This window comes from Homo sapiens, chromosome 6 (genome assembly GCF_000001405.40).
Source record: "Homo sapiens chromosome 6, GRCh38.p14 Primary Assembly".
Taxonomy (NCBI): Eukaryota; Metazoa; Chordata; class Mammalia; order Primates; family Hominidae; genus Homo; species Homo sapiens.
Window position 1 is genome coordinate 108941374 of NC_000006.12, and position 26956 is coordinate 108968329.

At 44.3% G+C, this 26956-nt stretch overlaps 1 protein-coding gene across 17 annotated transcripts in view, besides 2 other annotated features; it reads left to right on the top strand.

Annotated features, from left to right (window-relative positions):
- ARMC2 (armadillo repeat containing 2) overlaps nt 1-26956 on the top strand; it is a 204619-nt gene that overhangs the window by 92952 nt on the left and 84711 nt on the right. For 11 of the 17 annotated variants that reach the window (XM_047419396.1, XM_011536168.4, XM_005267154.5 and 8 more), the window contains 5 exons: nt 11660-11978; nt 20199-20321; nt 20641-20754; nt 22807-22939; nt 23607-23767. In XM_047419396.1, coding sequence (XP_047275352.1) covers nt 11660-11978; nt 20199-20321; nt 20641-20754; nt 22807-22939; nt 23607-23767 — 850 coding nt within the window. Of the gene's footprint in view, nt 1-1246; nt 2238-4150; nt 7702-11659; nt 11979-17098; nt 18147-20198; nt 20322-20640; nt 20755-22806; nt 22940-23606; nt 23768-26956 lie in introns of those variants that run through there. The other 6 variants (XM_011536167.2, XM_011536170.3, XR_007059340.1 and 3 more) reach the window with 6 other exon arrangements.
- Nucleotides 3988-4544: an enhancer, noted in NCBI's record as "H3K4me1 hESC enhancer chr6:109266564-109267120 (GRCh37/hg19 assembly coordinates)". NCBI's record gives its function as "activates a minimal SCP1, AML or CMV promoter by ChIP-STARR-seq in primed H9 embryonic stem cells {active_cell/tissue: H9 hESC(primed)}" and the evidence as "EXISTENCE:reporter gene assay evidence [ECO:0000049][PMID:30033119]".
- Nucleotides 9851-10352: an enhancer, noted in NCBI's record as "H3K4me1 hESC enhancer chr6:109272427-109272928 (GRCh37/hg19 assembly coordinates)". NCBI's record gives its function as "activates a minimal SCP1, AML or CMV promoter by ChIP-STARR-seq in naive H9 embryonic stem cells {active_cell/tissue: H9 hESC(naive)}" and the evidence as "EXISTENCE:reporter gene assay evidence [ECO:0000049][PMID:30033119]".

Genomic DNA, 26956 nt, shown 5'->3' on the forward strand with positions numbered 1-26956 from the left:
ATGCCTATGGCCTTAACCACTTCACTATTATTAAGAAAAACTATACAAATCTTAGCGATAAGGTATGGAATAGGTGGAGGCATGTCCTGACAAAGGCATGCCAGGGCATTGTTTAATGACCCAATCAGGGATTAATTCCCTAGGCCAACATATTGGTGTTTGAACTTGCTGTTTACTATTTGGTTAGATACCAGACACAATAAAGTTACATGTTAATTTGTAGGTTTCAATCTGGTAGACAGGATCACCTCAAAAGTTATGGTTTTATTACTTTGTAGGCATTTGTCAGGTTTGTATATAACCCAGAAATTTTAAGTGCTTGTAAATTCCCGGTTCTTCAGTTGTGCTTGGAACAAAGTTTACCGTGGTATCGGCCCCCTCATTAATGAGTTAAATACTTTTGAAGTGTGTTCATTTTATGAGCCCATGAGAGTCATGTTTTTAACTTTTAAAAAATTATACTTTGACTCAATACTTTTACTTATAATAAAGATTGAAATGTTGTAGTTTTAAGTCATTACTTTGATTTTTTTCCAGTAAGAAAAATACATAATTTATATTTTCCTCAAAACCAAAATATTTTAGAAGAGCAGGGAAAGAGTTTAGGCTACAAGGAAGTAGTTGTGTGTCCCAACCACTTCCTAAAATCATTAACCAGAAATTCCCATAAGTCTTCATAAACATTTCTTTAGTGGTTCTCCAAATGGTTATCATTATGCAGCTGCCCTATCCACTACTGCGAGTTCCTAAACAACACAGACTTTGTCCTGATAGACCGAGATGATGCTTGGCAAAGTAAGCTCATAAGTGCTGGAAGAAAGAATTTTGAGTGTGTGAAATGCTTTGGCACCTGTAAGGTGTTAAAAAATATTTTTTCTAGTACTCGAGTGCTTCTTCCTTAAATATGTACTTTCTTCTTCCTAGTTTGGAGGAAGAAATAATAAGAATTTTTTTCCCACAATTTTCACATGGGTGGGCTGCCATAAAAAGCAAAACAGAATCCCTTCAGACCAGCATGGCATCTTAGTTTCATGTTTCCCATGTCCCAGGTGGCCGATCAAATATGATTTGTTTTTCCTCTTAATGTTCTGATGTGAGTGTATTGATCTGCAGTGGTTAGACACTTTGCCGCAACTGGGATTTACTTGAATGTTGAGGCTTGGAACTGATTGTGGAGACCTGAATCAGCCTTCCAGCAACTTATTTAAACAGAATTATTACTTCCTATAATTATTTTTTTTTTCAGCTCCTGGAAACATCCCTGCAAGACTAACTTGGGTTGTAGAGAAATACTCTGGAAGCTTTGTAGTCTCTTAATATACACAGCCATTGCCAAGTGATTAGACAATCAGAAAGAGTCAGTAGACCTTCCCTGTTTTTGTTCTGGGAGGTTAGTATTGCTTCTGTCTTGAAAGCCTGAGGACTACATTTAGGATCAGCATAGGTTTCATTTTTCTAAGACACACTTTTAAATCAAATCATGTTTATGGCTAATCGCGTTTTCAAAAAACATAGAAACAGAAATCTAAAATGAACAAGAAAGAAAAGAAAAAAACCCTTTATAGTGATAAATGAAATGTCACCTACACATGCCTCTTGAACTGATCTTATCAGCGGATGGGGAGCTTCACAGGAAGCTGCCGGTCGCTGCTGCCGTCCACAGAGGGGGAAATCCTGTTTTGAACCAGGTAGCACCAGGGCCGTTTGCTGTTGGAAGAAGTAGAATATTTCCTCCCCATCTGCTGTTGTTTTCCATTAAAGGGGATAAAAATTAGAATTACATGAGAAGATACCAAAAGTCACAAAATTTTCCATTATTTTTACATTCTTTTTCTCTTGTCAAGGTAAAGTCTGATTTCAACATATGAGAAGTCTGAATATACTTTATATATTCGAGTATATAAAGTCTGAATCAAGTCCATCGACAGGAGGGGTTGTGGTGTGGTTTCACTTTTCTATACAACTGTGCTGTGAGGGGTATTGATGAGGAATAAGGATTTATATTTACAAGAATTCATATTATTTTTTAAAAAGCATTATTATAAAGACAAATAATGGGTATTCAAGTGGTGAGATTTCTAATTTTTTCTTGATTTAAATCAGAGTGGCTCCCCAACTTGGCTTATCATCAGATTTGCCTGGGGAGCTTTAAAAATACAGGTGCTTAGCTGGGCACAGGTGGCTCAGATTGGCCTGTAATCCCAGCACTTTGCGGCAGATGGATCGTCTGAAGCCAGGAGTTCGAGACCAGCCTGGGCAACATGGTAAAACTCTGTCTCTACAACAACAATTAAAAAAAAACCCACAAAAATTAGCTGGGTTTGGTGGCCCATGCCTGTAATCCCAGCTACTTGGGAGGATGAGGCAGGAGAATCACTTGAGCCTGAGAGAAGGAGGTTGCAGTGAGCTGAGATCGAGCCACTGCACTCCAGCCTGGTTACACAGTGAAACCCTGTCTCAAAAAAACAAAACAAGACAAAACAAAAGGAACCCTTAAACCTATTTTCAACTTAAAATTTGAGTTTAATTAAAAATTTTTTTAAATTAAAAATAGAAATACAGGTGCTCAGGCCCCACCCAGAGAGATTCTGATTCAGGTCTGGGATGGGGCCCAAGAACCTATTTTTAAGAGACTTCTCAAGTGACTCAAATGAACAGCAGGTTTTGAGACCCTATGGTTTAAGTTATTAAGGTGGTTCTTTAAAACCATTTTCTCCAGTATTGACAGCAGAGGGGTTCCCATAAAACCTCAAAAGATTTTAAAGTGATTAATCAAATCAGCCACACAGAGTCAGTCTTTCTCTACAGGAGCAGAGCTGACAGTGATTCTTCCTGACAAAGTAGGAACCAAGTTGACAAGACCCACCAGGTGCTAATGTAGGCTTCCCAGTAAGTGGTAAGAACCACTGGCCCTTTGCCTTTTGCACAGGCAGCTGAGGAATGATTTCTTAGCTGGAGAACACAGGATGGTACATTAGTCTTTTCCACAAATTTTCGCTGCCAGACTTGTGTCAAAATAAGTCCTGGGACCAAATCTAGTTTGAAAAAGGTGCTCATCACACTGATGAGGCTTCAAGCACTGGCCAGAGTGGCTCCCTCAGGAGAGATGGGCACAGGCTCTACTCCTCAGGACCCTTAGAGCCGCCTGTCCAAGGGAGGGTGCCTTCAGTTCAGTTGGCTAGACAAGCTGCGAGTTGCTGATTCATTTGTTAGTGAAACAAGCACCAAATTTCATCTTTAAAATAATTCCTGCAGATATCGTGTTTTGAGACAGTTCAGTATATACCCATATCTAAATGTTGTAGTTTGCAACAGTTAAATTGAGAGTGATGAGTTCACTTAGAATATGGTCCGCTTTACACCCCCTCTGTTTGCATAATGGCCCTCAGTGAAGTGGGCCTCCGTTTCCATCTGTATGTGATGGTTATGTGCATGGCCTGGGTTTCTGGCTCACCAACAGTCTCAATGAAAAGGCATCTACTCCTCCCAGCTCTCATAAATGACTTCCGCAGGGAGAGCAAGGGAAACTTCTTTGGCTCATATCTGTGTGGTTAATTTGTCCAAGATCCATGATGCAACTAGTAACTCCAGTTCCCACACACACAAAAACTGAGATGAAACAGCCTCTCGTTCGGCTTAATGCCGTATGAAAGCTAAACTTTAGAGTTAGGTAAAATATCTATTAAAAATGCTGGCCAAAATTCAATTAAATGACAAATCTCATTTAAGAAATGTGCACATATTGTCTGCTTTATGGTGTAAACTGCTTTTGGTACAAAACAAATGTGCAAGCAGATGGGCTTAATAACGAAGGAGGGAGTGGGGTTGCTATCAGCCTTTGGGAGGCAGAGCCTGCCTCAGGAGGCGCCTCTGACGTCAGTGTTGCTACATTTAGCATCTCAGGAAAATACATTTGGGTTTGTTTTTTGGAAGAACATGAAGGGATTTTCCCCATTTCTTCTGTAAATATCTACTAGGCAAGAGATCTGGTAAAATGCCTCAAATAAGACTTTCAAAAGACTGGCAATATTTTGCAAAGGTCATGATCAAAAAGAACAACCTTTGTCTACATTCCTATCACATGTGTCCATTGACCATTTAACTCTCTCCACGTTTAGATACGGTTAATTTCTTGTTTCTTTTACCACAGAGCTTCCAGATGCAGCAGGACTGTCGTCAGAGCCTTTGCAAACCCTGGGAACTGCCAGACTCATTCTTGGTTGTGCTGCTTTTAAAGTCCTACCTCTCTCATTCTGTTTAGACTTCTATAGGCATAAGCTGCTGTCTTCAGCCATGTATGCACAGTGAACACTGATTTGGAATGCTTAGCCATCGTGGTATCAGAAATGAGAGCTGGAATGTCTGAACAGTGTGGGCTGAAAGCAAAACCACCTCCATTTTTCTAGCTGTTCATCTTGAATGTGACCACAGCCTTTCAGCATTCCAGAGAGGTGCCTTCTCTTCCCCGCTATCCTCTTTGGGCCATCAAGGATTGGTTAGGAAGGTGCCCCCACCCCTTCCCCTGGTGCCTTTGTAGGGCGACTTGGCTCCCAGCTTGTCCTCTGCCTCCTGCCTGACAGGAGCACGCCCTATGGCTGTCTTCCCAGCCCCTCTGCAGGCACATTCCCAGCGGGTGCTGAGAGCATTTGGCTGAGCTTGCTCCTTTTTTCAGCCTTGGCCTTGGTCTGCGCCCCTGACCGGGCAGGCTGTACAATACGCCCTTAGCTTGTTCATTCTTTCCAGCTCCTGCCGGCTTTGCCCTTGTGGAACTGGCTCTTACCCCGCTCAGCACGGAACCCAAATGCCTGATTTATGTCTGCTGGCTTGAAAAAGAACTTAGCACAGTGAAATTCTAGCATTGGCCTGGTACTTTTGAGTGACATTCAGAGGCATATCGTGGGTGCTCAATAAATGATTGCTGATAGAACAGATAGATGGATGGAGGAATCAAGCGTAATCTCTTCTGGTTTTAAAATGATTTTCTACTTAGATTCTTGGCTTTGAGTCTCCAACATTTCAGATTCTTCGATTTTATCTAGTTAAACACGTAGGCAAACTCTTGACCCACTTTCAGTGCCCTATGGTCAGTTAGCATTTTTGCAGTAGTGCACAGTCTGTCTTCCAGTTTGCTAAAATTTATCTGTTCTTCAAGCCACCTGCAAGCTCAATTAATGTTTGAGTTTTGTTTGAGGGTGGTAAGTTGGATAAACAAAGCAAATTGTAAATCCTGATTCAGCTCTCAGGCACGAGAAGTTTGTAACCATATTTTAAACAGGGTATTTTGATTAATTTTCTGGTTAATAGAGAGTTCGGATTTTAAGTATATTTACATCCCCTTCCATTTCAACCCATTCTTACAAATTTTTCTAAAATGTGTTCCTTTACTTAGTGGAAGCAGTTCCCTCCTAAGTGGAGTCTGCTGAACATAGTTTATTCTTTCTGTGACAGCTTGATATTGTTTCTTCCCCACAGTCAACATTATGCACATGAGTTATTTTAAGGTACGGGAGGAAGGGTGTGGGAGTCGGGGAGGAATGTGTTCACTGTGGCTGGCCATGGGCAGAGAGTAATGTGAGGTAGCAAAGAAGTGGTTGCGTGGGGCCAGATGATGCATTAGATGCTGGCTTTGACATTCATTTAATAGGCAGTAGATGTTTTTGAGCAAAGGGAAGAGCTGTGCTTTAAGAAGTGGTGTTAGGGTTGATGGCAGAGGGAGGAGCCTGGAAAGGGCCTCTGACAACAGTCTACAGGCAGATTAGCCCAGGTCGGCATGGGCAGGAGGGAGCTGGGGAACATTTTGAGATGACAGAGTCGAGGAGACTTGGTGACTGCTTGGTGAGGGGATGAGATAGAGAGGAATCAGAGATGCTGGGGCTGGGGGACTGGGAAGATGATGATGATTAGCAATGAGGAGTTGGGCTGAAGGTGGTTTTGGAAACCATCTGTGTGTACAGAGATGATTGTTCAAGTCCTGCCTCTTCTCTTCACCAGTGTTTGACTTTGGGCTTACTTAATGAGTCTCCTGAAGCCTCAGTTTCAACATCTCTAAATAGGGGTAAAAATGTCTTTCATTGGCTTTAGGCCAATGTCTCTCCCATGGAAAGTAACATGCAACAGCTACTGCCAATGCTGCCACCATTGGAACTGGACATAGACCATCCTGGTGAGCAGTGCCCTGTTCCTGGTTTTATTCCAGTTAAAGTAATTTCATTCACAGGCTTGTGGGGCCCATTCAGATTGAGTAACTTGTTTGCTCATTGGGGCATAACATCTGCGAAACTAATGACAATATCCCTCAGGCTCTAACTGGAAAGCTCTGTTGAGGTCAGTCTTCTTCCTCTAAGTGTATCTGTTTGTCTAAGCTCTGGTTGGCCGTAGCTGTTGCTAGGCTGATTCTGTTTTAAGCAAAATTAGAAAGTCGATATGAACTGGTTATACTAGACTGCCTTCTTTAGGAAAAAAAAAAAAAGCTCTCTCTTGATTCATCTTCAGTTTGCTATTTCAAAATCACATAGTTATGATATGAATATGCAACATTGTGTTAAATTTAATAAAAATGCTATAAAAATGGAGTGTTAATTTATAGATGATTCTCAGATATTGTCTAAGAATAAAGGAGAGAATGTGTGCCTCAAAGGAGAGCTGCATATTGATGAAATCCTTTTCCGCTGTGGAATTGGTGCTCTCTCTAAATAGATGATTTTGGCCTTGGTTTAATTTTTACAAATCTTTATAGAATATTAAGTAATATTTTATAGACTTGAGATGGCTCGGGCTGTGGAACAGTAGATAATCTCTCCATGATCCTGCCCAACGCAGACCTTGGTTCAGTAGGGAGGACCTTGGAGTGCACGGTTTGGGAGCAGAGGCCACCCATGGTGAGGAGAGGGGCCCTAGAAAGCTGACTTGCTCAGCCTTCTTCAGGATTCCAGATGAGTCAAGACAAGCCCTGGCATGGAGATAAGAAAACACTACCTCTGCTGACCTCCTGTGAGATGGCTTCTATTTTGGCCTCTTCCAGGATCCCTAGGTCCATGTAGAATATATTTAAGAAGGGAGGGGAAAAAAAGAAAAGAAAAAGTGCCTTAGCTAACCCTGAAAAACAGGACAAAAACAGTAAGCAGAGATAGCAGTTGCTGGAAGTTTGGTGCTGCAGACGGCGCAATCTGCCATCCCATTTGTTGATCTCGCATGCCATGCTTCAGTTGGCACCGCGGCTGCCAGGAACCACCCCCTCCTTTTCCATCTGAAGCAGGAAAAGCAGTATTATAACAGTGTTAACTCTTCCTGCCCTACAGCCTAGAGCTTCTTCTTCTGCACTGGAGGCTTACTAATCTCGGCCACGTTAGGACCTACAGAGATGACAGAATCGAAGAATTTTAGAAGAGGAAGGGGCCTGAGGGAATTTTTAGAAAAAGAAAAGCAGCACTTAGTCTTCCCAGATTAGACTGCATGTGACAGTGGGGAGAGGTCATTTGAATTTTGAAGAATGATGACCACTAAGGAAATCTATTTTTTACCAGGATCTGATCTAAATCCTGGCAAATCAACACGGATAGCTGGAGGTGGGACAGGGCTGGAGAAGCCTACTGAGCTGGACTCAGAGAAAAGCAAGACCAGGTAGATGGAGGTGAAACGGCAAGGCCTAGGAAGAAAAAAAACAATCCAGCACCCTTAGAAGATGCCATGACATTTTAGGAGGTAAATTGTTTAGTCCTGGTAACAATTTAGGGTACAAAATGCAAATATTAATTAAATAAGCAATCACTTAAAATCACTCATAATGCCTTTCCTGTCTTGTTTAACATGCTTTTATGGAAATGGGAGAAGAGAGCCCAATTCCAGGAACATGGTGAAGTCCAAAACTTATTAACATCACTGTTATCAAATGTGCGAGGGAGATGGCGGTTTAGATTGTAAAAGATACTGTGAATAGCTTTATTCAGGTTAAAGAAATGGAAGTTATCATTTTTAGTGAATTAGTTAATTTGTATATATAAATGCTTAGGACAATGCCTGGCACATCATGAGTACTAATAAGTACTGTGTGTTAGTTGCTGCTGTTACTGTGCTGTTATTGTTATTAATTATTAGGATTTTCAGAACTAGAATTCATATAGTCTTTCAGCAGGAAACATGTATCAAAGTTCACACAAAAATTCTGTTTATAGTCCTCAGCTTAGAAAATATCAGATGAAGTTCTTCTTTAAGATGCTTAATTCTTGGAAATACCCTCTGTCCTGGTTGGAAAACTGATTTTCTGCTACTCTGTTGGGTCTGATCAGGGTGGAGGAGAAGCTACCAACTCAGAGCCCAGGGCAGGGCCTTTGCCACCAGGCATTACTTGAAGTAACCCTCTGTTTTATGTGAAATGGGATTCAAGTATTATAATCAAATTGTGTGTGCTTGTTTTAGACTTAAGGCCCATAAATATCCCATAGCTTCTTTAGGGAACAGTCAGGTAATTAAAGAATGAGAAGATGACCCCTGGCCCAGGAAGGAGATAGTCCCAGATGCTCTCTCAAACTAATCCTCTTCAAACTAAAAACAGGCCGGGCACAGTGGCTCACGCCTGTAATTCCAGCACTTTGAGAGGCCGAGGTGGGTGGATCACTTGAGGTCAGGAGTTTGAGGCCAGCCTAGCCAACATGGTGAAACCGCGTCTCTACTAAAAGTACAAAAATTAGCCAAGTTTGATGGTGCATGCCTGTAATCCCAGCTACTTGGGAGGCTGAGACAGAAGAATCACTTGAACACAGGATGCGGAGGTTGCTGTGAGCTGAGATTGCACCACTACACTCTAGCCTGGGCGACAGAGCAATACTCTGTCTCAAAAACAAAAACAAAAAAAACAAACAAACTTAGAACCATTTGACCCAGAAATCCCATTATTGGGTATATACCCAAAGGAATATAAATAAATCATTCTATCATAAAGACACATGCATACATTTGTTGATTGTAGCACTATTCACAATAGCAAAGGCATGGAATCAACGTAAATGTCTATCAATGGTGGATTGGATAAAGACCATGTAGTACATATACATCATGGAATACCATGCGGCCATAAAAAAGAGTGAGATCATGTCCTTTGCAGAAACATGGATAGAGCAGGAGGCCATTATCCTTAGCAAACTAACGCAAGAACAGAAAACCAAATACCACAAGTTCTCACTTATAAGTGGGAGCTAAACGATGAGAACTCATGGACACAAAGAAGGGGACAACAGACACTGGGACCTACTTGAGGGTGGAGGGTGGGAGAAGGAAGAGGATCAGGAAAAATAACTATTGGATAGTAAGCTTAGTACCTGGGTGACGAAATAATCTGCATACCAAAGCCCCATGACACAAGATTACCCATGTAACAAAAGTGCTCATGTACCCCTGAGCCTAAAAAGTTAAAAAAAGAGAGAGACTTGTCTTCTGCTGCCTGCCCAACCCCATGCTCCCTTCCACATATCTCTGCATCTCACAGCTTCCAAGGTTGAACTCAGATTCTTTCATGATAACTCTGCTGAACCTGACACTGTTCCCAGAGCATCCTCTTTTCAAAACTCTGGTGAGACTACTAGGCCTGTGCCACTGAGTTTATTGCTATTAGTTAGCATTTTATTGATAGGACATGAAAAGAGTTCACAGAAATGCCCGAATCATTGCTCAGTACAATTTGTGCTTTGCCTGTTGTATCTCATGTGATCTCACAGTAAGAATTTTGTCTCCATTTTGCAAACAAGTTAATGGATGTACAGAGAGGCCAAGCATCTGTGTGAGTCCAGCCTGCCTGGCTGTGACCTGGGACTCATAATCCCCTTTCACGTCTCGCTTCTTCCTTTGCCGTTTTAGTCTTTGCCGTTTCCCCACATATGTTAGCCTTGTCTTCTCAGTAGGTGAGAAGCTCTTCATAGCACTGACTTTCAGACTTGGTTATGTGTGTGTATTCCTAGGCCCTGGCATTAAGAACTTACCTGAGGACTAACATTCTATTTCCCGGGGTGGAGTCAGGAGCAGGGTCTCCTAATTGGACGACCACTATGGCTGGTTGAATGCTGTGAGTTGAAATGTCTCCGAAAATGAACTCTCTCCTGGACCATCTCCAGTTTTTGCTGTAGCATTAGCTGCTGTCCTTCCTTAATGTTTGGCAAATGGTTTCCGGTTGTGCAAGCAGCAGCCTCGCTTCTTCTCTGCCAGTGAGTGTCAGGGAAAACTTTTGGATTTTTTAGCAAGAACAAGCAGGAACAAGTTGGTATTGGCAGAGAAGGCCTAGGTAAATCCAAAAGTTGTACTCTGCCCCCAATCCTCCCCAGTTTCCTGGCCACACCCGACGCCCCTCACGGGGCCCCTGGCGTCGCACCTGGACATGCGCTCCTCGATGAAAACGTGCCCAGCCCTTGGCCCTTTGTCCCCTTTTCTTAAGGCTACTGCTAACTACTGATCTGATCAACAAAGTCACGTTTATGGTCGTCCCTTCTGGTGACATATTTGCTTTTAAAAGGAGATAATTCTTTAACTGTTCTGCAAGAAGGCAAAGGAGGAGAAAAAGTACACGACACCCTGTGTGGGAAGCAGATGTTGGTGTAGAAAGGACACTAGAGTCTGGGTCACCCTGGAATCAAATCCTGACCTTACCCTTCACCAGCCATGTGACCTGGGCAGCTTCTCCAGGCCCTAGTTTCTTGTCTATAAAATGGCATAGTGCCTGGCACTGTATATATAGATATAGATATAATACCATCCAGGCCAGTTGTAGCCCTCCAATGAGTATTCCTTTAAAATCTCCTCCTCCCAGGTCACCTCCATTGACACCCATGGGGAAGGCTGATCTGGACTCATATGTGGACATTGTTGTCAAACTAAAAACACAGTGATTTTTGTATCTTGTTTAGTTTTAAAATGTTCCCAGCTTAGGGTTTGTAAAAACATTTTAAAATTGTGAAATATAGCCTATATACAGAAAAGTGCATAAAACGGGTATGCACAATTTAGCAAGTAATTATAAAGGTGTCACTCATGTAACCACCACCCTGGGTAAGAATTGGTAGGTACTGCCTTAAAGTAGTGTAGCTACGTAACACAGCGCTTCTCCACAGGGGGCAATTTTGGCTGTCACATCTGGAGAGGTGTTGTCATCTAGTGCGTGGAGGCCAGGTGTGCTGCCAAACGCTCTACAATGCACAGGACACCTCCCCACAACAAAGAATTATCCAGTCCCAAGTGTCAATCCTGCCCAAATTCAAAAACACCATACTTCAGCAGGAGACGAAATTTTAAGGAAAGATTTGGAATTTCAAGAAACCGGCTATTGTCAAAACTTAGATTTACATGACTCATTTTTAGTAATGCTGTCCCACTCAACTAATTGTTCTCTGAAGGAGATAAAGAAAGGCGAGCCAGAATTTAAGATGAAGGATCTGAAGGTAATAGACGTTGCTGATCACATCAATCAGTTTGTATTCTTTCATTGCTGCCAAGTGCTTTTAATCTCCTTTGTCACTTTGCACTGATCTTGAGAATCAAATACTGTACAAGTGAGCCGAAGCCAGACGTGTTCCATTTTACTATTAATGCAATTGTGAATAAATTAAATACTATCTTCTTCCCCACGATGTGTTCCAGCCCCCTTTGCACTTTTGACTCTGTCTTTCGTTTATTGCAGGATTTAGTCGTCCGTGTTGTTTTTATTCTTGGCAACCTGACGGCAAAAAATAACCAGGCTCGTGAACAATTTTCCAAAGAGAAAGGGAGCATCCAAACTCTGCTGTCATTATTCCAGACGTTCCATCAGCTGGATCTGCATTCCCAGAAGCCGGTGGGCCAACGAGGCGAGCAGCACAGGGCGCAGAGGCCGCCGTCAGAGGCAGAGGACGTGCTCATCAAGCTGACTCGTGTGCTGGCCAACATTGCCATCCACCCGGGCGTGGGCCCGGTGCTGGCCGCCAACCCGGGGATAGTGGGCCTGCTCCTGACCACGCTGGGTGAGAACCGCAGCCCACTGGCTGCAGCAGACACAACCAACTTTCCCGCGGCCCAAAGACAGTTCTGTGTCTGTGGTGTGATGAGGATTTTATTATCACAAGTGGCTCCCTATGAGAAAGTCTTAGCTGTATGAAGGAAATTCCCTCTTCTGTTCAGAACTGTCTTAAAAGTAATCCAGATTATTAGAAAAGGAAAAGAAAACATAGTAATAGAGATTATTACTAAAACCCACCAAATCGTACACTTTAAAAGGGTGAATTTTATGGTTTGTGAATTACATTGCAATTTTTTAAAATTATACTCAGCAAATGAAGAAAACTTGGCTAAACTAACCACAAAGAGTTTAAAATTCCAAATATTTGAGTTTAAAATCCCAAATCCCAAATATTGTGGGCAATCCACATGATTAAAATTAATTCCTTTTTTTTCCTCTTCAGGTTCTTACATTATTTGTAATTACAGTCTCCAGTCATTCAAGTCCTGTTCATTCCCCTTGTATTAGCTCAGATTGCCATAACAAAATACCACAGATTGGGCAACTTTGTCAGAAATTTATTTCTTATGCTTCTGGAGGCTGAGAAATTCAAGATCAAGGTGCCAGACTGTTCAGCTCCTGGTGAGGGCTCTTCCTCCTGGCCTGCAGACAGCCACCTACTCACTGTGTGCTCACATGGCTATTCCTTGGTGCAAGCACTTGTGGGGTAGGGGACAGTCTGTCTCTCCCCCTCCTCTTTTTATAAAGTCACCAATCCTATCATATTAGGACCCTACCCTTATGGGCTCTGTAACCTGCTGTATCTCTTCAAAGTCTTATCTCCAAATACAAGCATATTGGGAGTAGAGCTTCAACATATGAATTTTGTTGGGCACACAATTCAGTCCATGGCAACCCCTATACTTTTTAGGTCTGTCATCTCCCACAAGCACTTCTGCCTGCTAGTGTGTAGGAAAATTAACTGCAACCCAAGATTGATTAATCTTGCCACTATTAGGTGGGCCTGGTGGCTCAGGCCTGTAATCCCAGCACTTTGAGAGGCTGAGGTGGGTGGATCACAAGGTCAGGAGTTTAAGACCAGCCTGGCCAACATGGTGAAACCCCTTTCTCTACTAAAATACGAAAATTAGCCAGGCATGGTAGCATTCACCTATAATCCCAGCTACTCGGGAGGCTGAGGCAGGAGAATCGCTTGAACTCAGGAGACGGAGGGCCGCAGTGGGCCGAGATCGTGCCACTGCATTCCAGCCTAGGTGACACAGTGAGACTCTGTCTCCAGAAAAAAAATTAGCTACTACTAACCATACTTGTGGAAAATGTTGTTGTTTTGGAAGGAAGCTAATGTCTGACACAAATGATGTTTTGGAGGAGCAATCTGTGAACTCCCTGGCCTCCCTCGCCCCCACTAGTCAACTCAAGAGCCATTTCCTAAGCTCTTTCTGGGTAACCAGTTCTGTGCTATACATTCAGTTTCATTTATTCTGCTCAGGCTGCCATAACAAAATCCCGTAAACTGGGGAGCTTCAACAACAGACATGTATTTTCTCACAGTTCTGGAAACTGGAAGTCTGAGACCGAGATGCCGGCAGGGTCAGGGTCTGGTGCAGGCTCCCCTTCCTGGCATGTGGTTGATTGCCCTCTCACTGGGTCCTCATGTGCTGAAGAGAGCACACTCTGGGGTCCCTTCTACTTCTTGTAAGGGTACCAGCTCCACCGGATGAGGGCCCCACCCTTCTGACCTCATTTAACCTTTATCACTTCCCCACAGGACCTAGCTCCAAATACAGTCACATTGAAGGGATAGGGCTTTTACATGTGCATTCTGGGGGATACCAACATTCAGTTTAGAACAAGGTTTTAAAAATGGAGGCTGGTATGTGCTTTCAAGGAATTCGGCCTATATGGTGGAGGGACATTGAGTGCACAGACAAGAACCCCAGTTTCTGAGAAGGGCAGAAGCTAGGCATACACAGCTAAGGGACGGGTGGCAGAGCCCGGCTGCGGGCATGTGAGTGACAAGGCCGTGCTTCATTATGGAGCTTTACGGTTGAAAACGCATTTTCATATCTGTTACCTCACAACAATGTCAGGGCACGTTTTTGTTATTTTCATCATTTCACAGATGAGGAAACGGGCTCAGTGAGATATAGTGACTTTCACAGGTCACAAAGTTAGCAAGTGGCAAAGTCACCGGGCCCCTGACCTGTGCTTCCCCGCACTCCACATCACGTGTCACCTGTCTTGAGAAACGACTCTTCACTTCTGATTGGGATCTGCACCATGACTTACCACTTCCATGTAAATAACTCAAAAATCTCTGTGTTTAGGCTTGAACTCTTTTCCAAGCTGCTGACTGCACATTAAGCCACGTGGAAGAAAATGCACGTAGCTGTGAGAGAAATTCAGTTTCTGTTCCAACCTCAAAACGTTCAGCATTTGCTCTGTAGCATGCCCATGTCTGCTGAAGCTCTTTCCCCTTCCTGAGATCCACTCACCACACTGAGCAGGGCTTCTCAGCCCAGGACCAGGGATGGGACTGCTGCAGAATCAGCTGTGGGACTCTTTAAAATACCCTTTTTGGTTTCTGGCCCCTGCCCAGAAACTGCCTCTGTAAAATGCCATTAGAGTCTTGAAATCTGCCTTTTAATGCCTCCTTTGCCCCCAGGTGAGCCTTTTGCCCATTAAGTGTTGAGACCCAGTGCTTCAGGGAACCATGTTAGCTTTTCTGGCTCCTCAGGATCTAGCAGAAGCCTGAAACCGACTGGGCGAATTCTCATCTGTTGCAGAATTAATCCCTTTACCTGACTGTGGCTGCCCAGGAAGGGCCTGAGGACCAGACCTCAAACACCTGGACTGGGGGCACATGGCTGTGAACAGCCAAGGAGTAGAGTTATGCATGATTCATTTTCCCACAGTTGTTAATATTCACATATAAAGTGAAAAAACTCCTCATCTTATAAATATTTTATGAGCTTAGAAATTACATTTCTACCTATAAAGGAAGAGTGAATAACTTGCTTTTGACTCAAAAGAAAGTGATGCTTTGGGGTAGGAGAAAGAGGCAAGAGGCTGGGCACGGTGGTTCGCGCCTATAATCCCAGCACTTTGGGAAGCCAAGGCAGGCAGATTGCTTGAGGCCAGGGATTCCGGACCAGACTGGGCAACATGGCAAAACCCTGTCTCTATTAAAAAAAAAAAAAAAAATTAGCTGAGTGTGGTGGGACACGCCTGTGATCTCAGCTACTCAGGAGGCTGAGGTGGGAGAATTACCTGAGCCCAGGAAGTCAAGGCTGCAGTGAGCCATGCTTACACCACTGCACTCTGGCCTGGGCAACAGAGTGAGACCCTGTCTCCAAGAAAAAGTCCGGGCGCAGTGGCTCACACCTGTCATCCCAGCACTTTGGGAGGCTGAGGTGGGCAGATCACTTGAGGTCAGGAGTTCAAGACCAGCCTGGCCAACATGGCAAAACCCCATCTCTACTAAAAATACAAACATTAGCCAGGCATGGTGGCACGTGCCTGTAGTCCTAGCTACTCAGGAGGCTGAGGCAGGAGGATCTCTTGAACCCAGGAGGTGGAGGTTGCAGTGAGCCAAGATCGTACTGTTGCACTCCAGCATGGGCGACAGAGTGAGACTCTCTCTCTAAAGCTCCCTGGCTGCTCCTGATACAGGTGGTCAAGGGCCTCCCTGTGAGAAATGTTTTAGTCTCTGTATTAGAGCCTGGTACCATATGAGGTTGAGCAGAAGTGAAGAAACCCTGCTCTCCTGTGATGGGTCAGGCCTCTTGCCTACTATGCCTTAGGCAGTTGTTTGGGCAAGCAGGTGATCCCTTCTCTATTCTCTCCTGAAAGACTTTATCTCCAAATAAAAGTTGATAGAAGGGCAAAAGTCACCCCTGACAGGGGGTCACCCCCCTCCACCTTCCCCTTACACAGCTCGACTCCTGGGTGAGTTTCTAAGCCCTGCTAAGCCCTTTCTACACTGGTCTCTGTGGATTTCCTACCTGTTTTGTCTGTGTCGGTGTGGAGTGGTGACCACATTCCAGGAAAGGCCTCCTGCCCCCTCTGACAGGCCTGGCAGCTTAGAGCAACGCAGGGCCAGTGCTGGGCTGTGACTGTGACTATAGAAAGGGCCTGCCCGTGGTTTGGTTGTGCCCACTGAACTCAGAGTTGCTGCTGTCCTGTTTACCCTCAGAGCTGAGCACTCCTCCCAGCCTGATGGCTCCTGTGGCATGGCCCCCTTCCCTAGTCATGTGGGAAGGGCATCCCTTAGGCTCTTTTCTTCCTACCTCCCTCTAGCCCTGCACCCTTCACAAGGAGTTACTTGTACCCCAGGACTTGCCTAGAGAGGTCAGCCTCATTGCAGAGGGTCTTTTAAAAATCAATAATGTTTCTAGTAAGAACTGACCCTCTCAGTATGCCACCAGACTCAGAGATTTGCTGACTTAGTGGCAAGTCCAAATTCCAGATTGTCTCATATCCGTGAGTGAATTATAGAGGGTAGGATGGTTGTCATGGTTTTTTGGAAGCAGTCTATTGCCCCAACTAGCTCCAATGGGAACTCAGCAACCCTGAGTCCTTGGCTTCCGCAGCGTTCTGTGGAAAGAGTAGGATAGTAGGGGTCAAGTACACCTGGATTTAGATGTGTGCTCTGTGAAGTGAGGTGAGGTATTGAACTTCTCTAAACCTCAGTGTTCTCATCTGACCCCTAAATTCATCTATGAAGTCCTAACCCCCATGTGATGGTATTTGGAGATGGGGCCTTTGGGAGATAATTAGGTTTAGATAAGGCCATGATGTGGGGACCTCATGCTGGAGTTAGGGCCCTTACAAGAAGAGACACCAGAGCCTGACCATGCAGCCTCCCTGATCTTGGACTTCCAGCCTCCGTAACTGTGAGAAAATAAATTCCTGTTGGTTCAAGCCACCCAGTTTATGGTATTTTATTATGACAGGCCAAGGTGACTGAGACAGATGCACCTTTCGAGAATGAATTATTGTGGGTGTGAATTCTTGTAAGTGCATGTAAAACTTATTAGCTGACTTTTGAGGGTTACATGCATGGTAAAGTGCCTAGTGCTGTTTATGATAAATGCTTAGGAGCTGTGAGTACCTACCCTCTAGTTCCAGATACCAGACACCATTCCTGCCGCCCAAATGTGTGGTCCTTCGGGAGGTCAGACAATAAGAGCTACCCTGCATTTTCTGGACAAGCTAACGAATTCTCCTACCAAGGCAAGAGAAATAAAACAGATCCCCAAACACTGCCCAAGACCTAGTGTCATCAGTCTGGGGCTGGAGGAAACTAGGGCTGTAGGCCCTTTGCCCAAGAGTTAGACATTCACCTGAGCTGCTCCCCATGAGCCGTCATTCTGGATGGCCCATCTGTTCATGTAATAAGCACTTACTTAGCACCCACTATGTGCCATGCACTCATTTAAGCCCTTGAATGCATTTAAACTTTGTAACAACTCTATAATGTAGGTGCAATGATCATGCTTACTTTACCATCAAGGAAACTGAGGCCCAAGGAGGTTAAATAATTTGAGTAAGGTCACACGGCCAGTGAGTGGAAGCACAGGGTTCTGGCTCCAGAGTCCTGGCCAAAGCAAGAGGGAATAATTTGGAGGTCCTGTGTCCCTTCTTTTACCATAACTAGAATATTTCCTTACAGTAGAATCCATATTGATAACCAAAATAATTCAGTTCCTTATTCCCTTTTTATATACTTAAACTAAAAAAGAGGAAGTCAGGTCTTTATTTATTCTTTCTTTTTCCAAGTATCCATTAAGTGTCTACCAGGTACTGGGCCTATGCTTGCTGCTCTAGCGGGAGGGGCCACTGGCGGAAGGAACAGTGTATGTCTTCTGCAGCCTACAAATGACTGAGCTTTCCTTTCAACATAGTAATTTATAAAAAGGCTGTTCTCTTTAATGAACAGGAAAAGATGGCCAAAGGGGGCGATACTTAAGTTGGAGAATTCAAGAACAAGCACAGTCCTCTTCCTCAGCTCATAGCCCCCCTGCTTGCTCCCCAAAGAAAAACTTCGGTTTCATACAGGAAAGAAAAGGCACTTCCTATTCAGTAATGGGAAGTGGGCAAGTCATGAGCCAAGTTGTGTGCAGGTGCTGAGTGGCCTCCCTCGCAGGCTGGGACTGGGCCTCTGGAGCAGGTGAGACCAGGTGGAGAAGGACTGGGGGCTCTCCCAACAGTGGGTGGACTTGTGCAGGAGGGAGGGGAGGCGGTGGCCTGTTCAAGCTGCAGTCACTGGCTCAGTGTTGCCGGGCTCGTGATTCTTTCTCTGATTGCCCAGCTCTTTTTTATTTATTTATTTATTTATTTTTATTTTTATTTTTGAGATGGGGTCTCCCTCTGTCACCCGGACTGGAGTGCAGTGGTGCAATCTTGGCTCACTGCAACCTCTGCCTCCCGGGTTCAAGCAATTCTTCTGCCTCAGCCTCCCAAGTAGCTGAGATTACAGGCTTGTGCCATCAAGTCTGGCTAATTTTTGTATTTTTAGTGGAGACGGGGTTTCACCATGTTGTCCAGGCTGGTCTCATACTCCTGACCTCAAGTGATCAGCCCGCCTTGGCTTCCCAAAGTGCTGGGATTACAAGCACCTGACACCACACCCGGCTAATTTTTTGTATTTTTTGTAAAGACAGGGTTTCACCGTGTTGCCCAGGCCGGTCTGATTGCCCAACTCTTAGATCCAACTGTCTACCCCTCCTCTCCTGGGGGTGCTTCAGAAGCACCTCAGCATATCTTAAGCTGAATTCATGACCTGTCCCTGAACTTGGCCCTCTTCCTGTGCCCTTATTTCAGACAATGTGGTCAACATCTACCCAATTATGTGCACCGGCGGGGGACACCCCGGGTGATTCCTCTCCCTCACACCCCCATCCAGTCTCTGCCAAGCACAGTCTCCACTCCGCCACATCTCCGCCATCACCCGTGTCCACGCTATGCTGAGGTCACTGGGACCACTCCCAGCTGCAGCCCTGCCTCTTCTCATCCTCACACTGTGGCCAGAAATGTCAAGAGATGAGTCTGGAGACTGAGTGGGAGGCAGGGACAAAAACCACTAAGGGCCTTATGTGCTAAGCTAGAGGATCAATTATTCTTGCATCCAGCACTCACTATGTGCCAGGCACTGTTCTAGAAGCTGGGAATGCAGCCATGAAGAAAACAGACACATCCCTAGGCCTCAGGAAGCTGACATTTTAGGGCTGAAAGACAAACATTAAACACATATATAACATCAGGTGGTCATATGTGCTATGGAGAAAATTAAAGCAGGGTGAGAAAAAAGAGAATAGGTGCTATTTTAAATAGGGAGGTTACGGAAAGTATGTCCAACAAGGCGGCATGTAAGCAACTGCTAGGAGGACGTAAGGAGTGAGCCAAGTGACTAACTGGGAGGACAGTATGTTCCAGAAGAAAGTTCAGCAGTGCACGGGTTCTCAGGCAGGGGCATGCTGGCATATTCCAAGAGGCCAGGAGGCTGGTGTGGTTGGCCTTGGGGGTCTGGGAGTAGGAGGAGCAAATGAGGCCAGAGAGATAAGGCCTGGAGCTGCCAGGTAGGTCTTGTGAACCAGACGACGCAGTCTATTCGTGGGTTATGAGGTGGGTGGCAGTATCTGACTTGCTTTTAAAGGATAACTGTGTTGAGAATAGATTTAGGGAGGCAAAAGTGGAAGAAGAGAAGCCAGCAAGTGCTGAGAGATGAACTAGTGGGGAGGTAGAGGAGGCCAGAGGTGTCTTCTAGAGTTCGTAGTCACAGACGGATCGTGACCCCGGGGCCGTTCTGTTGGGAGGCGGTGTGGGAAGGAGGGCACAGACTCCAAGGAGGAGCCCCTGGGAGAGCCTGAAGACCCAGAAAACAGGCGGGATTGGAGATGGCTCCGCTCACTGCCGTGTTGGCCCCTTTGCTTTACTTCAGACACAGGTCCCAGATCAGCTGGACTTTTCCAGACCTCCTGGCTGCGAGGATTGAGTTGACAGTGTCCTCTCTGCTCTGGCCAGGAGCAGGCCCTTGCATTTGGGGCATTTCCGTGCAGGAGGAGTCGGGGGAAATCAAGTGGTAAAGGTGCCTCTCCAGGGCCTTTGTAGGGACCCTGCGTGATCGCAGCCGGCTCCTGGCCCTGCTGTTGCTGTAGTTGCAACGTAGTTGGTTCTACTCCTGCAGTGGGTCTTTGACTCCCTTATCCTTACTTCATTTCAGAATACAAGTCACTTGATGATTGTGAGGAGCTGGTGATCAATGCTACAGCGACAATCAACAATTTATCTTACTACCAAGTGAAGAATTCCATAATTCAAGACAAAAAGCTATATATTGCTGAATGTAAGGTTCAGAGTTGGATTTGGATAAATGAGTGCTCATTTGAAGTTTCGATTTTATTAACTAAACACAGAGCAGGAGACATTACTATCTTCTGCCTTCTGGTACAGAAATGTCTTAGAGCCTGATGATTCTAAGAAATTAGAATATGGGGAAACTAGAAATGGGAAAAATTAGTTTCTTAGTTCTTGCTAAAGTCCCTTACAGTTTGTAATTTATTATCATTTGAAAATCATCAGTATTAAGTATGATGTTGATTTCCATTAACCTTTAAGTTAAAACTTAAATTCACTGATTTAATTTCTCTGGTCGCCAAATCCAGTGCTCTTAAAGCTTCTTGTCAGTAACAACATGGATGGAATCCTGGAGGCTGTGCGTGTTTTCGGAAATCTCTCCCAGGACCATGATGTCTGCGATTTCATTGTGCAGAACAATGGTGAGTTAATAACACTAGAATTCATAAACATTCACTTTTTGCCAATAATCAGCTGAGTGGTTTTGCAGCTTGAGTCATTACAGTGTTATACTTGTTTCCGTTTTGAGATTTGTAAAGCTTCGTGTTTAAGGCTCCTGGCTCAGGATGCCAAGATGGACCTAGGCAGTGTTCCCCTCTGCCTTGTGAATGGCCTTCTGTGCTCCAAGATGGGGTGTGTGTATGTCTAATGGAAACAGTGAATCTTGAGTAATCACTTCTGTCTGGGGGCATATTCTTAAGAAGACATTCTCTTTTATGTACTAGAATGTCTATTACATTTTGCTTATAATAGCAAAAAGTAGAAACAACCTAAATGTTCCTCAACAGAGAAGAGGACAAATTCATTATGGTATATTCATGCAATAAAATGTTCTCTAGCATTTAAAAGCAATAGGAGGATATATGCAGAGGAATGCCTTGAATATAAGTTTTAAAACATACAAAACTACCTTTTGCTTCTGCATTGGTATTGCTTCTGCACAGGTATTCACGTAGTGATGCTATACAGTATAAATAGTAATTGGAAATAGTAAACTCCAATTTAAGACAGAGTTCAGGCTGGGTACAGTGGTTCAAGCCTGTAATACCAGCACTTTGGGAGGCTAAGGTGGGAGGATTGCTTGAGGGCACGAGTTTGAGATCAACCTGGGTAACATAGTGAGAACCTGTCTCTACAAAAATTTAAAATTAGCCAGACGTGGTGGTGGCACAAGTCCCAGCTACTTGGGAGGCTGAGGCAGGAGGATCACTTGAGCCCAGAAGTTTGAGGCTACAGTGAGCCATGATTGTGCCACTGCCCTCTAGGCTGGGAGACAGAGCGACACTCTATCTCTAAAAAATAAAAAAAATTTAAAAATTAAAAAAGGACAGCATTCACCTTTGGAAAGAAAGGGATGTCCAAAGATTATAATTGGACCTATAATGTTATTTATTATCAAATAAGAATTGTTTATATTTATTATGTACAACATATTGTTTGGAATGTAATGTTTTATTTCTTAAACTGAGTGGCAAGTACCCACATGTTTATACCCTTTGTATGTCTCAAATATTTTTGTATGTCTCAAATATTAGTATACTTTGACTCTTTGTATGTCTCAAATATTTCATGTAACAATAATTTTAAAAACATAACTCTCCATGTTCGTAATGGAAAATTTCAATAATACAGATACAAAAAGCAGCAGCAGCAAACCATGCCCCATCCTCTCACTACCTGCAGATAACTGCACATTTTGCTGGGCACTATTTAGCCTCTTAAGAGCACATATGTACGTGATGTTGCCTCTGTCAAGCTTACTGCCCAACCCAGTTAACAGGGCCGGGGCTAGAACAGGGCAGCCCCTCTCAGGTGCACGTACTGTGGGAGGAGGCAGAATGCACACTTTACTCACTCTTCCCCAACCCTTTGCTCAGCGTCTGCTGAGGGATGAGAAAACAGGACAAACAGTTCCCAGTTCCATTTCCTAGGAGTAAGGGAAAATGATTCTCCTGAGGCAGGAGCCTGTCCTGCCTTGAGATGTCCCTACACTGGAAGGCCTGCCTTGCCCCAGGTTGGTTTTTAGCAGTCTGAGTCTTACACATGGCCCTGGGAGACTTCAGGAATGATCCCACCAGGAGCCAACTCCCCTCTCCAGGACTGTGTATTTAAAGACAGACAGTTGCTGCTGGAGGTTTAGGAACACCCTTGAGAATAACTGGAAGTTAGATGAGTGTCACCTGTGCTCCCTCCTTTCCACCAGCTGGGACTCTTTCACTGCCGTGGAGAAGCAGCTGCTGCCTGGGTCAGGTTTTGCAGTATCTGTCGATTGGGGGAGCCAACTCTGGGAGTGGTGGGTATTGGGGAACCCACTGCTGTGTGATGGATAAAGCCTTAGGAAGAATGAGTTAAGTCCCTTAACAGGGGTTCTGGGTTTGCAAGCCACTCCCCGTTTCCCCATACCATCTGTAAAACAAGAGACAGCTGGGAATCCTGAACTTTTACTGGTCTGCATTTGCTCTCTTCCCTCGTAGTCCACAGGTTCATGATGGCGCTGCTGGATGCTCAGCATCAGGATATCTGCTTTTCTGCCTGTGGTGTTCTCCTCAATCTCACTGTGGATAAAGACAAGCGTGTCATCTTGAAAGAAGGAGGTGGCATTAAAAAGTAAGTTTCAGGGCGTAGAGTACTGACTCTCTCAGGATTTGAAGGACATCATTTTCTTGGGAGCTTTGGCCCTTTCATCATTCCTGTGGGGCAAAGGTATTTCAACATTGGGAAGCCCCTAAGCTGAGGCTAAAGAGGGGGTTTAGATTCCACTGGATACTTAAAATAGTGCAGAAGTAGGCCAGGTGTGGTGGCTCGCACCTGTAATCCCAGCATTTTGGGAGGCCGAGGTGGGCAGATCACTTGAGGCCAGGAGTTCGAGAGCAGCCTGGCCAACATGGTGAAACCCTGTCTCTACTAAAAAGACAAAAATTAGCCAGGCGTTGTGGCACACGCCTGTAATCCCAGCTATTCAGGAGGCTGAGGCAGGAGAATCGCTTGAATCCGGGATACAGAGGTTGCAGTGAGTGGAGGTTGCGGTGAGCCGAGATCGCGCGACTGCACTTCAGCCTGGGCAACAGAGTGAGACTCTGTCTCAAAAAAAAAAAGGTGTAGAAGTAGATTATTGCTACTTTATAACCACTTAAATTTATAGATAAGGAATTATTTTAAGTGATCACTGGATTATACTTACATATCACAGAAGGATAATCATTATGCTAACAATATTAAAATTAAAGACAGATTCTGACCTAATAACTTCTCAATTTGAATTTTATTAACTCAGGTTAGTGGACTGTTTAAGAGATTTGGGTCCTACTGATTGGCAGCTGGCCTGCTTGGTTTGTAAAACTTTATGGAACTTCAGTGAAAACATCACTAATGCTTCGTCATGTTTTGGAAATGAAGACACCAACACACTCTTACTCTTGCTCTCATCATTTTTAGGTAAGACTCTTGACTATGATGAGTCTGTGAGTTTTATCAGAGTGTGAGATAGTTTTTTTCTGTGACCTGTTCGGATAAATATTAGTATGCATTTAGGTGACTATATTTCTATAAGCAACAAGAGTATGTTAAAGATTACTATAATTTGGAACTGAAAAGGCTGAATGCTATTTACAGTGGGGACAGAAGGACTTTCAACTCATTAGATACATTCATGATTTCTTCTATGGCTTTTTTTTTTTTTTTTTGCATTTTCTCTAGAGTGCATAAATATAAGACCTCAGCGTAAATGTACTTCTGTTGTTCAAAAGCAAATAGACACTATTGTAATTGAGAAAATACGGCTAAAATCTACTCAAGTCATGCTTTTAAATGAAGCTATACATTTTAATTAGCTACGTTAATTATCATGTGGGTGAGGGCCTGTGAGACTATTTGGCATTACAATGGAGTTTATATCCTTGAAAGGTAGGAAATCACTGATACAAATCAAAGGAAAGAAGATTGTTTCTTTCTTTTCTTGGGACAGGGTCTTGCTCTGTCATCCAGGATGGAATACAGTGGTGCGATCACTGCTCACTGCAGCTCTAAACTCCTGGGCTCAAGTGATCCTCCTGCCTCTGTCTCTCAAGTAGCTGGGACTACAGACACGCACCACCATGCCCAGATAATTAAAAAAAAATTTTTTTTTTTGTAGCGATGAGGTCTTGCTATGTTACCCAGGCTGGTGTCAACCTCCTGGGCTCAAGCGATCCTCCCACCTCAGCCTCCCAAAGTGCTGGGATTACTGGTGTGAACCACCTTGCCTGGCCAGGATCATTTTTTACATTTAAAAAATTTTTATAATTTTAGGATAATTTTTTTCTTCCTGGGTTAATTCTAAAAACAATGATTTGGGTCAGTAAGTGAGTGTTTTTAATAATCCTTTTTCCCAAATAGAGGAGATGTACCCATCACTGCCCAGCCACCATACTAGATCCAGGAGGCCATGTGGAAAGGCTCAAGGTCACTTGGAAGCCATAGGTGCTGAGTTTTTAAATTTTGAGCTCAACTTCTCTGCAACCTGAGAAAGCTTAACAGACACCTTTCCTTTACACTCCTTCACTAACCAGAGCAGAGGCTCCCAATCCTGGCTGCAGAGCAGACTCACCCGTGGAACTTTTAAAAACACAGATTATCAGCCGTTCCGAAATGATATTTTATCATCTCCAAGATGAGGATAATTAATGTCCAGATTGCAGGGTGATAAATGAGCAGATGTGTACAAAGAGCCTAACACAGTGCCTGCTGCATAGCAAGTCCTCAGAAGGTGGCTGACGTGCTCTGGAAACTCTTTAAGTGTTGTAACACCGTGCTACTAAACAGAAACTGGAACTCAGGAGTTGTTTGAAATAATTGGGTTTGCTAGGTTGATGTGAAATTTGGTTTTTCCAGGTAAATATAATTTTGTACATGTGTTTTAAAACACAATAAGGAAAAAAAAGTGAGCATTTTTTTTTAATCATTGAGGTTCACAGTCGGCTCCATGAGCATTAAACTGACTCAGGTTGCAGGGAGCAGAAGTGCATGTTCAGGTTGCCTTAATTCAGTTCTCGATGGTGGTAGAGCATTGAAATCAGCTGTGGAGTTAAAACCCAAAAAAACTAAAAACACCTTCCTGGCCCCAGCCCTAGGAATTCTGATTCAGAAGCTCTGGGATGAGGCTGAGAATCTGTGTTCAAAGTTCCACAGGTGAGTCTATTAGCTAAGATTGAGAGCCCCTGCTCTCGTTAGCAAAGGAGCTTAAGGGAAGAGTGTACAGAGAAGAAAGAAGCCAGGAAACAAGATACTGCTCAAAGCCTCCCAGAGAGGCAGGCAGGAGCCAGAGTCCCAAGTGACCCCTCAGCCGTGGGCGTCATGAGCTCCGCCCCCTGGGCTCTGCCATTCTGGAGACCCAGCTGTGTTGTGTCTGCTGTTAGGGAAAGAATTCTCTCCCCACTTACTCTCTCTAGGCTCCTTCTAGATCATGGCTTCAGCTACCTCCAGGCTTCCACTTGCTGCCCTCCCTGTGTCTGTCTGTTGCCAGGGCACTTTCCTATGTCACCCACTCCAGGAGAAGATATGATTGGCTCAGTGAGTCACTGTCCTATGGCCCAGGGCTTTCCCGCATAGGCAGCAGCTACCGGGTGACAGGCTATCTGTGGTTTCCTTTGTTACCCAAGCCTGGGGCAATCAGCCATAAATAACAAGGATGGTGGGGCTGCGGGGCCGGGGCCGTGTGGCATAAAGATGGATCAGAAGGAGGTGTGGGCATGGCTGGCTTCTCAGCAGGGGCAGTGTACCTGGAAGGCACTTCATTTTAGTGGGCCCTGCTGCCTGTTACAGTCACCCCTTGGTATCTGGGGGGATTGGTTTCAGGGCCTGCCTCAGATACCAACACAGATGCCCAAGTGCCTGATATAAAATGACATAGAATTGGCATTTCACCTACACACATCTTCCTGCACACGTTAAACCATCTCTAGACTACTTATAATACCTACAGTGTGAACGCTATGTAAATGGTTGTCGTGCTGTGATTTTTATTTGTATTCTTTTTATTGTTGTTGTTTCAAATATTCTGTCTGTGGTTGGTTGAACCTGTGGATACGTGGCCCGTGGATGCGAAGGGCTGACTGCGCTCCATTCCCAACTTTTCCATAGCCTAACTGGGCTTCTGATTGTGCTTCTCCCGCCTCTGTGCCTTTGCACATGTTCTGTTTCATTTCCTGCCTGCCCATCCCAATCTGCCTAGCCAGGTGCAGGCCCTTCCCACGTAGCTTCTCAAGCCCACAGTCGTAGGCTAGTCATAGGAAATCTATACTTCTTATATAGCAATCAGTCATGAATTGTGTAACTTGTCCTGTAATTATCCTGTATTATTATTTTGTGAGTTTTATCTTATTTCCCCTTTGCAACTGAACCACCTTAGGAAAAGGATATTGCCTCATACAAAGAAGGTACTTGATAGCTGCATGTGGATTGGCTAACAATGGTGGTACCTTTGTTTCAATAGTGCTATATCCTTTTAAAAGCATGTTTATTCTATTTTTGAAAGATCTGAGGCCATCAGCTAGGTGACAGATACGGAAAGTAGGTTTTAGGACAGTTAAGTGGCTTGCCTGAAGTCATACTGTAGCAAAGGCAGGAATTCCCATCCGAAAACAAACA